Source organism: Homo sapiens, chromosome 10, assembly GCF_000001405.40.
Source record: "Homo sapiens chromosome 10, GRCh38.p14 Primary Assembly".
Taxonomy (NCBI): Eukaryota; Metazoa; Chordata; class Mammalia; order Primates; family Hominidae; genus Homo; species Homo sapiens.
In genome coordinates, this window is record NC_000010.11 from 22,463,190 (window position 1) to 22,474,796 (window position 11,607).

General features: G+C 40.7%; 1 long non-coding RNA gene across 1 annotated transcript; it reads left to right on the forward strand.

Moving 5' to 3' along the window:
* The first annotated feature begins 8,261 nt into the window (after positions 1 to 8,261).
* On the forward strand, positions 8,262 to 9,388 carry LOC105376450 (uncharacterized). The gene is made up of 3 exons (XR_930748.1): positions 8,262 to 8,302; positions 9,006 to 9,199; positions 9,349 to 9,388. It is a non-coding gene; the product is annotated as an uncharacterized LOC105376450 (long non-coding RNA).
* The last annotated feature ends 2,219 nt before the right edge of the window (positions 9,389 to 11,607 follow it).

Below are 11,607 nucleotides of genomic sequence, written 5' to 3' on the forward strand. Positions count from 1 at the left end.
CAGCCCCATATGCTCTGGGGCCTCCACCCTGGGGGAGCTCAGGAGGAGAAATGTGCTTCACCTCCCAGACACGGCATCCTATGGAAACTAAACGAAGACACACTCCAGCACTTGACAACTAACACACTGTTCACAGCCTGAGCAGCATCAAGCATTCCGAAAACCAAAACTGGGACTTTGTATTACAGTTTTTAAGAGTAGAGAGAGAGAGAGAGAGAGAGAGAGAGACATGGCAACCCTTACAGCAGGCCCACCTCTGACTGTTTACCTTTGTCAGCAATTCTACCTGAAGTAAAAACAAACAAACAAAAAACAACCAACCAAACAACAACAACAAAAAAACACAGGGAACAGAAGCAGCCTCGTGAAAAATGGCCTGTTCAAAAGCACTGAGATGTGTGAAAATATAAGCCAGCACAGACTTCCTGTCACTTTAAAAATGTTTTGAATCCCAGATGCCAAGCAGGATGCTAGGGCTTCTTGTAGCTGGCACCAAGTTTCAGGAAAACATAAAAACAAACAAACAAAACCCTCTACATGTTGATTCACTTGAAATAAACATTTCATTATGCTCATAATAAAGACAAGTTCTTGGCTGAGTACATGAAATTCCAGGTAGTCAGATTTCTGGATTGTACTGTGCAGGAAATTTTCAGAAACAATAATAGTGTGCGTGATAAAGTATTGAATTTGATTGGCTAGAGGGAGATGGAAGGAGAAAGCCAGCACTGTGAGATCGCGTGATAGGTGCTATTAGGGTATTGGATGAATTATCGGACCCACAGACTAGCCTGCAATGTCCTAGGTGCTTGTTGTCAACACCCAGAAGCCTACAAATGAACCAACTGTTGAAAACATGAAGAGACAGTCTCTATGGACATGCCAGAAAAATAAATCTCAGGTTAGTTTGTGGAATTAAAAATCAAAACATAAAAAGAGAGGGGAAGAAGGAAAGAAAGAAGAGAGAAAGAGAGAGACAGAAAGAGATGGAGAGAGAAAGGGAGGAAGGAAGGAGAAAGGAAAAGGGGGAAAAATAAATGACAGAGTGGCTTTGTAACTTTCCTCCCTGTTCACATGAGTAGCAAATCATCCCTGCATTCTTCAAGCCATTTCCTCATATTTCATCTTGTTTCATTCTTACCACAACCTCAAGGGAACCCTTTTTAAAATTTTTCATGTTATTTTAGTTTTTTTAGAGACAGGGTTTCACTCTGTTGCTCACGCTGAGTGCAGTGGCATGATCATAGCTCACTGCAGCCTCAAACTCCTGGGCTCAAGCGACCTTCCCACCTCAGGCTCCTGAGCGGCTGGGACTACAGGTGCACACCACCATGCACCTGTTTTAAAACATGTTTTAAAAATGTTTTGTAGAAATGAGGTCCTGCTATGTTGCTCAGACTGGTCTGAAACTCCTGGGCTCAAGATATCCTTCCACCCCGGCCTCCCAAAGTGCTGGGATTATAGGGGTGAGCCACTGTGCCTGGCCTTATATAACTGAACACACAGAGGTTAAATTACTTGCCCAGGATAATACAGCAAACAGTCAAGGGGTGGGCACCCCATCTAATCTCTCCAGCGAGCAAAGCCAAGCGGGCCTGTTTGTTCTGTGCTGTGAAATTAACCCTAATGGCTCTTGCTTGGGCTCCCTCTGCCCTCATGTTGCCGTTGGAGTCAACATATGGAATGATTTAGAGATTTCTCTCTGAAGGCAGGGGATGGACTTAATGATACCCCGAGATCCCCTGCCAAAGAATGGTTTTCTTGTAATTCTAAAGACACATAGTGGGCCTCTATGGAAACAGAGTCCCATGTTCAGGAAGTGGGGACTGGGCCCCCTTTCTTTTCATTGATCAGTTGCATATGTCAGGAAAGGGCATGAAAGGCAAGAAACAGATGTTTCCTGATGGGGCGCCTTCCTGATAAGGGGATCTCCTTGCTTGTCCACCAGCAGCCCTACCTGAGCTGTGAATCCCCAGCCAACAGAGTCAGCAGAACCCCTAACTTAGGTGGTTTCCCCCATGAGTCTGCCCCAGGGACTCCTGGTCCTCTATTCTTCCTGGCTCAAAACTGTGGAAGCATACACCCCTCATCCGCTATGGTGGGCAAGACAGGGAGTCTCATTTAGGGAATGGGGGCTGGCAGGGGTCTTTGGGATGGATTTCTCTTTCTGACACGAGGATCATTTCCTGGAAAAGCAAAACACAACAAAAAAACCTGCTGCCATTTTGACTCTACAACCACTTAATGTGGTGAAGAGTTGCCGTAGCAACATGATTTCTGCCTCAGCTTGACAGAAATTCATGCTTGCCTGGTTTGAAAAGAAAAATTGGACATTCAATCTGCACCAGAGAATTTATACATAAAAGCAGATAGTAGCTACACATTCTGCCTTTATTATTATTTTTTAACATTTTAGTATGCATTTCGAGCACATACAAAAGTAGAGAGAATAGTATAACAATGCTCCTTGTACTTATCACCCGGCTCCCATAGTGATCAGCATACGGCCAAGCTTGGTTCATTGATCTACTTGCTCATTCCCCAGCCCCCACCCACTGTATTAGTTTTAAACAAATCCTGGATATCATATCATTTCACCCACCCACAAATACTTCAGTATGAATCTCTAAGAGATAGGGACTCTATTTTTAACAAATGATTCTCACACAAGTAATAAATAAAAGAGAAAGAAGGAAGATTTCAGAATACAATTTCTGCCTTTCTCCCCAAACATTTTTTAAACTGCATCTATTCCCTTTTTTAAAATATCCTGCTGGGTACAGTGGCTTGAGTCTGTAATCCCAGCACTTTGGGAGGTGGAGGTGGGAGGATTGCTTGAGGCCAGGAGTACAAGACCAGCCCGGGCAACATAGTGAGACCCCCGCATTTATGCAAAAAAAATTTAAAAATTAGCCAGACATGGTGGCTGCACCACTGGTCCCGGCTACTCTGGAGGCTGAAGTAGGAAAATCATTTGAGTCTGGAAGATTAAGGTTGCAGTGAGCCATGACTGCACCACTGCACTCCAGCCTGGGTGACAGAGGGAGACCCTGTCTCAAAACAAAAAACAAAAAAAAACTAAAGTAGCATAGACTTTAGACACTATGCTTTGGCTTAAAATATATAGCATTATGTAGCAGGCAGAGTTCCAAGTTTACATGGATTATCTCATTTAATCCCCACAACAGTCCTAATATTATCCCATTTTACAGATGAGGAAAATACATCCTGGGGAGATTAGTAACTTGACCGATATCAAACACTTCGGTTATGTAAATAAGCAAACACATTGTTTTTAGTTCCTAATCAGGCCTACTCTTACCATTGAAAGGGCTGCATATTTATGTTACGACTTGAAACTCGTCAGTGGTGCATGCTTTCCCGTGCTTTGCATTTGTGTACCCACTCTTCAGACGTGACATTAACATCTTATTGAGCAGATCCCTGTAAGAAGCCACTGTGTGATTTAAGGATTATCCTCAAAATGACCACCCATCTTAATCCTCTCAAAGTCTATTTTCAACCGTTGCATATATTCTATTAAATCCTGAGAAGTCTCCTTCAGTGGAAACTTTTGGGAGGTTTGATCCCCGAGAAGTGGTTCTGGGAGGTAGATGCCATGTTAGATGATGTCACTCAACCACTTTCTGGCTGTGTGACAAGGTAGAATAGCTAGCTGTCCCTGTCAGAACCTCGACACATTGTTTTGCAGTCATCTATTTACTGGTTTGTTTCCTTAGAGGCTCCTTAAGGCCAGGAGCCAATTTGCCATTTGTTGGTTTGGCTGTTTGTTCTTTTTCTGTATCTGAGCATTGACACTGGTACACAGTAAGTACTCAGTAAATATGCTTTTCCAGATACAGTTCTCTGAGTTCTTTTTATTTTTCTTTCAAACTGAACAAACAATGACGTATCTGGCCATGACTAAAATACAGAATAGATCAAAGCAGCCACTTAATTCAGGGAAAGTTAACATTTCTTAATTGAGAGAAAAGGTATCCTTTTCTGATTGATTTTCCACAATGTCTGCCCACACTGACATTGCTCAATGTGCAATTTCCCAATGGCTTTATTTTATTTTTATTTTTATTTTTATTTTTTGAGAAAGAGTCTCATTCTGTCACCCAGGCTGGTTTGCAGTGATGTGATCTCAGGTCACTGCAACCTCCACTTCCCGGGTTCAAGCAATTCTTGTGCCTCAGCCACCCAAGTAGCTGAGATTACAGGTGCACGCCACCAAGCCTGGCTAGTTTTTGTATTTTTAGTAGAAATGAGGTTTCACTATGTTGGCCAGGCTGGTCTCGAACTCCTGGCCTCAAGTGATCCACCTGCTTCAGCCTCCCAAAGTGCTGGGATTACAGATGTGAGCCACCGAGCCAAGCCCAACCAGTGATTTTATAGACATAGTCTTTGGAGTTTAACTTGGAACAAGTTAGTGCTATATTATCTGAAGCTTAATATTTATTGTTTTCATAGTTAAGACTCTTAAGTTGAATTCTCATTACTAATAGTATTTTTAGTTTTGTAACAGGTGAACGCACACAATAAGAACTTCAAGGAACAATTAAAGTCAATATTAAGAGTGTTCAAGTGTTTCCAAATCATTCCAAAATATTTTCCTCACACTTAATAGTACCGTGATAAAGGCCATCTAATTCTCATAGACTGTTCTGAATTTAAACAGTTGTCCCATTTCCCCCCCTTGCATTTACCAGGTCATATGCCAGGTTTGGGCTCAGAAGATATCATTACTGCATGTAATAGGCTAATAACAAAATCAGACTTATACATTGATTTGACAGTTGTCCTTATTTGAGCTTGTACTTCTTTATTTTTAAGTTTTTAATTATTTTTAGAGATGGGGGACTTGCTATGTTGCCCAGGCTGGTCTTAACTCCTAGCCTCAAGTGATCCTCCGGCCTTGGCCTCACAAAGTTTTGGGATTACAGGCATGAGCCACCACACCTGGCCAGCCCTGCAGCTTTTGCTTTTTACCATATTTTATTCCATGTGACAGCAAATACTCAAAGTATCTCATACTATGTGTGTTGGGATTACATTGAAAATTATTTCTCTAAAAATGTGACTGTGTATTCTATATAGTTGAAACTATATTTCCTGGGAAATAGAAATAATTCTAGGTGGGCAAGCACTGTGTAAAAAAAAAAATCAGAACTCTGGTAATTTTCTTTGCTCTTTTTGCTTATTATAAAAGCATAGGAAAACATTTAAAAAAACCACAGGAAACAATTTAGCATTTGACATATATGTTACCTACCACCTATTTTCTGCACTTTTGTCAAGAAAGAGTCTAAAAATGGTATTTTTGATACTGAAAGGTATGTGTGTTGGTAGAACTCAGAAGTAAGGTATTTGAAATTCCAGTTCACCTAACTGACTTCTTTGCTACCATTGAGAAACTGCTTATTTTGGCATGGCTCACTTTAACCTACCAAAAATGAGGCAATGTAGGAGTCTTCCCCATGAGGTTGTTGAAGATTGTTGAAGATATGACATTGCAATGTTAAATGATTAGGAAATACAAACACATGTCTAGGCAGCATTGACTGAGCATTCAACCAATATTTATTTGATAAATATTTATTCTTCTGCCTAAAAAATAATCATGGGTGTTATTCCAGGTTCTTGGACCCTTCACTTTCTAACCCCAGGGTTAGGTGAGGTCACTCACCCTAGAGTTCTTTTTCAACTCAAGGAAAATAACCAGGCAACTAGAACATTAAGTGTACTAAGAGCAAAAGAAAGGTCTGGTACTACAGAAGTCACAATGAAGGATTCTGGAGTGAGCAGGAGGGGAAGCGTCTCTGCTGCCCACTCACAGTCCCTGGGTGATATATTGGTGCCCAAGAGCTTGAGAACAAAATGCTCCATTCCTCCTGGGATCTCCACACCCCTGTGGTGCTCTCCTGAGCCTGACCCATGCTGGGAGGCTCTGGCTCTCCATGGAGACTGCACACGAGAGTGTTGGTCTTACACTGTGCACAACCTCTCACAGGCATTTGCCCCCAGATCTTTTTTCTGCTTGGTTGGGGGAAGGCTGGATATTGGCCAATTGCTAGTATTGCTAGGTGCAAACTTTCTGCTAAGTTAAATATGACCCGTTGTCAGCACCAAAATTGAAAATTGTGATTTCAGGCCAGGCACAGTGGCTCATGCCTATAATCCCAGCACTTTGAGAGGCCAAGGCAGCAGAATTGCTTGAGCCCAGGAATTCAGCCTGGGCAACATGACGAAATCTTGTCTGTACAAAAAATTAGCTGGGCATGGTAACACGCGTCTATAGTCCCAGCTACCCAGGAGGTTGAGATGGGAGGATCAGTTGAGCTCAGAAGGCTGAGGCTGCAGTGAGCCATGATCTCACCACTGCATCCCAGCCTGGGTGAGAGAGTAAGACCCTGTCTCAAAACAAACAAACAAACAAACAAACAAACAACAAACAAACATAAACAAAAACACAAAGAAAAGAAAAAAAAGAATATTGTGCTTCCTTTCAAAGCTGAGTTTTAGAGTGCCAGGTTCAGAGCAAAGAAGCATCTTCGCTTGTGTTTAATGGAAGTACCTGATGCTTGCATAAGTTGTTGACACAAAAGCCAGCCTCCCTCATCCAGTCTGCTGGAGGTCACCCTGCAGCCCTCTTTCAGGAATGTTTGGAGAGTTGACAGAAGAGTCAACCAAACCTAAATTCAGAAAGTGTTACATTCATCAGAGAGGAAACAGCTTTTCCTTGTTGCTGCCATTATAGCTCAGGAGACGCACAGAGTAAGGTGTCAAATTTACCTAAGAAATGATACTCAAAACTTTACATTTGTTTTTATCAATTTAAAAATACAGCTCTTGAAATAAATAAGGCCATTCCTTCTGGCATCATTCATTTTAAATGCAGGCATAATTCTATGTACAATAGCAAATCCTGGAATGACTTGTTGGAAGAACCAGACTTTGAGAAATAAATAATTTAAAAGATAACAACTCTCTGTAAATAAAACTTGGCACCAAGATAGTTAAGTGGGTTACCAGCACTAAATAAATATACTGAGACTTACTATGTTGCAGGTACTGTGCTAAGCATATTACATGGATGACTGCCTTAGTCTATTCAGGCTGCTATAACAAAATATCTTAGACCTGGTAACTTATAAACAACAGAAATGTATTGCTCATGGTTCTGGGGTCTGGGAGGTCCAAGACCAAGTCGTAGATCCAGTGTCCGATGAGGGCTCAATTTCTGCTTCCTCTCTGGTGCCTTCTTGCTGCATCTTCACATGACAGAAGAGACAAACAAGCTCTCACCTCTTTTATAAGGGCATTAATCCCATTCATGAGGGTTCTGCTCCACCTCTTAATACTGTTGCATTGGGGATTAGGTTTCAACATATGAATTTTGGAGGGATATGGACATTCCCACCACAGCAATTGCCTAATTTAATCTTCATTACATGGAAGACAAGTACTATCACTCTGTCCAGTTTCTAGAGGAGAAAACTGAGGCTTGGAGGTATTTGCTTGCCCAAGGTCACAGAGCAAGCAAGTGATAGAGCCTGGCAGGGCTCACGTTATCCTGGCTACTCTTACACCTGTGCTCTTGTCTGCCATGCCACACTGCCTCTCTAAGCCACAGGAGTACTTTCTCCTTCAACACTCATGCCAATCAGGCTCTGTGATACGGTAAGAGTGATTTCTTTGTTTATATGAATTAGAGCTTTATATTTGGGCATTAGTATTCCCAGAAGAATAAGCAAGTGAATTGGTTACGTGAAATACATTTATAATAATCAATTTTCACAAATCTTAAAACTCCTTGAGAAATTTTATAACGGTTAAACACTTTAATCCTATATGAGGGAACTAACTATAATTCTGTACATACTTTATTTTAAGATTGAAATATGCATCAAATTTGGCTCTAAAGTGACTTTCTACAGAGTGAATGCTATTTTTTCTTTGAGATTTTTCCGCTGGCTAAAGCCGTAAGTCTATTTTTCACAGGAAATTATCCTGACCTAAAGGTGTTAGGATGAGGAAAGTGATCATACCCTAGAAAACCTTGTAGCAGGCTTTAATAATGTTTCTAGGTCAAGTATCTCCCCTTCACCCCATTTTGTTTTTCTTTTCTTTCTTTCTTTTTTCTTTTTCTTTATTTATTTTATTTTTTTTTTGAGATAATGTCTCACTCTGTTGCCCAGGCTAGAGTACAGTGGCGTGATCATGGCTCACTGCAGCCTCAACCTCCTGGGCTCAAACAATGCTCCTACCTCAGCCTCCCAAGTGGCTGGGACTACAGGTATGCACCGTCGCACTTGGCTAATTTTTATTTTAATTCTTTTTTTAAAAAATGTTTGTACAGACGTTGTCTCCCTATGTTGCCCAGGCTGGTCTTGAACTTCTGGGATCAAGCAATCCTCCCACCTTGGCCTCCCAAAATGCTAGGTTTACAGGCATTAGCCACTGTGCCTGCCCCCCATTTTCCTATTATTTTGTCTTCTCTCTTCCCGGCTACAGGGATTTCTCTCAAGAGATAGGCTGGCTTCACGTGCAATTCTTGGTGCTCTCCTTGGGATGAGTATCTATGGTGCCTTCTAGAGCTGGTAATTGCAATGTGACCACCATGGACAGCCATTAGCATGTCTGCTCCACCCCTTCTTTGGGTACATGCCCCTCTGGTCCCCCAAACAGAGACCTGGGGCCTTCCTTCACACTCTCCTCTCCCTTCTTCCCCACATCCAAATGGTGACCAGGATTTGCCTTTACCCCGGAATCTTCTCTCCATGCACAGCCCATTCTCGGCTCAGGTTCTCCTTATTTCTCACCTGGATTAATGCTATGGTTTTTCTCAACATCTATGCTTGGCCTCTTTTGTGGGAGGCTTTTCTTGTCCACCTGCACCCCTCAGTCTTGGCAGGATGCCCTATATCTTTGCACTGCAACTTATCCCATGTACACTGATTACATATTTAATTTTGTCTCTTCCTCCAATTCACCATAAGCTTCTTGAGGTTGAAGACTGTGTTTTGTCCTTGAATGGCCAGCTCTGAACAATGCCCGACACATCGCTGATACTCATTGTCTGTTGAGTAAATGGAAGATGATTTGCAGTTGGTGCTGTGTTTTGTGTTACTGGGGGAATCTTGTCCTGAGGGATCTGAGTGTGAATATGCAGCTTCTCTATCTGGGGCTTTGGGTAAGTCCGAGTTGTTTTTTTGTTTGCATCTCTTTTGCAAAAATGAATGAGAACACAGAAAAATCAATGGCATTTAGCACAATGTTATGAATATTACAGGTCAGAAATAAACTTTGTTTTGTTTTGTTTTGTTTTGTTTTCTGAAACAGAGTCTCTTTCTGTTGCCCAAGCTGGAATGGCGTGATCACGGCTCACTGTAGCCTTGAACTTCTGGGTTGAAGCAATCCTCCCACCTCAGCCTCCTGAGTAGCTGGGACTACAGATGTGCGCCACCACCCCTGGCTAGTGTTTGTATTTTTTTTTGTAGAGATGGGGTTTCTCCATGTTGCCCAGTCTGGTCTCGAACTCATAGGCCCAAGCAATCCTCCTGCCTCAGCCTCCAAAAGTACTGTAGAAATACACTTTTTAAATTAAAACAGGCAGGTTGAATGGGGCTCAAACCTAAGGATTTAGTTTTTAGGCTCTATGATGTAGAAAAACATCTGTTTCTTCGATATTACCAAAACCTCAGCATATTGTATAGTATAATACTTGGTTATAGCAGGCATTTAAAAACAGTAAATAATAAAAACAATAAGAGCTATCATTTGAGTGCTTCCCATGTGCTATGTATTTCCTATTCTGAATATTATGTGAATATCTTTAGTCCTCACAACAGTTTTATGAAGTTAGTATTATTATTATTATCTCTATTTAACATTTGAGAGCACTGGGACCCAGAAGACTTCAGTGACATGGTTAAGAACAACCGCAAGTCAGTAATGGCACCAGATATGGACATGGTTGTCTAATTTCAGAGCCCACATGCATTAATCACTACGCCGAAATCGGTGCACACGTGACTAAATCTATGTCATCCTCTACTCAGCTAACTCTCAGCCGGTGAGAGACAGCTGCTGAAATGTGATTTGTAGCAGGCAGAGAAAAACCAGGATTTTTGTTGCTGACATCCTTTCTGATAGTCACAGTTAGCTTACTCAAATTCAGGCAAGTAATTGAAATAATCACATATGCTCAGGTGTGTTTAACATGATGTCTTTTCTTAGCTGTAACTGAAGGTAGACTTCACTCAAAGGCATTACTCCTCAACATCCATCTCAAAATTATCATTCTGGAAGATATTTGCTCATATTACTTGATTTGTGTAGGAGTTAAGGCTTTTTAAAGAATGGATGCAAAATATATTTAGTGCTAAAACATACAGATTTTTGAATCTTTTCTTGTCATGGCAAAAGAATGAAAACCATCTGCCTACAGCCACCCACACCTTTGGAACAGTTTTTACCCTAGTTGGCTTGGTTTTTACTTGTGGATTGAGAAAGATTAAGTATAACGTGGGCCAGAATCACGTTGGCATGAATATGGCCTGACTCTAAAAACTATTTTAGCCAAAAACTTTTAAAAGGCAGCTCTGGGAATTACCAACAGATGGGTTCTCAGATGACCAGCTTTACCTAAACGTGGCCAGAAGGTCTCCACCACACTGGGCAGGCTTGTGGGTTTCTTTAAAATAGTTGGTGAAAAACATCAACCCTAAATTTTACCTTTTCTCTCTGATGTCCACCACTTTGTATTACCAAACCATAAAAATGTGATCCACTGAGCCTACTCATATAAAACATCACAGAAGTGAAGAGGAAATTAGATTCTATTAATTTAGTGCTTTACTCAGTTGTTTAAAAAATGTGTCTGCCTCAAGCTTTCAGTTATAGTCTGGTTCACAATAATATTAAGACCTTTTTTTTTTCCTTTTTCCTCATTGTTAAGCACCAGTCCTAAGTTTTTAAACATTACTTAAAAATACATCTTTAGGGGTTACACCATGTGTCAAATTCTCAAAGATTTAAGGACACATGGAAGGCTTTTTTACAGTTAGGAGACTCAGTTATTTATGGCAAAATTACCAATGTGATACTGAAAAACATTTCTTCCAAGAGCTGTGCACAAATAAATGCATTAATTATTGCTTTAATATTAAGAACTAAAAAACAAAGAAACTGTTTTTAAAATTTCAAAGCCACTCCAATAAACTTCCCAGATTAACTTATCTCCCAGTTTGTCTGGTTTCTTAAGGAGCATGCCTGGACTGTACTCTCTACAGACAGGAAAATGTTCTAGAATAAAAAACAATCAGTAGCTTAACTTGTGTCCAAAAGAAGGCTGTTGAAAGTAAACTATCAACAACTCATAAAGCTACATTATGTTAATAGCTCTTTAACGACGTTTGAAATTGAAAAATGTTAAATATTGAGAATTGAAAAGTCATGGGAAAATTTTTACTGCAATGTGTATATATATGGGAGACACTAACAAATAAATACTTCTGCAATATTTGTGTGACAATATGTCAAATATCAGACTTGATGTTTTCTGGGCAAAAGTAGATACCAAAAGTATGCAATGGTTGA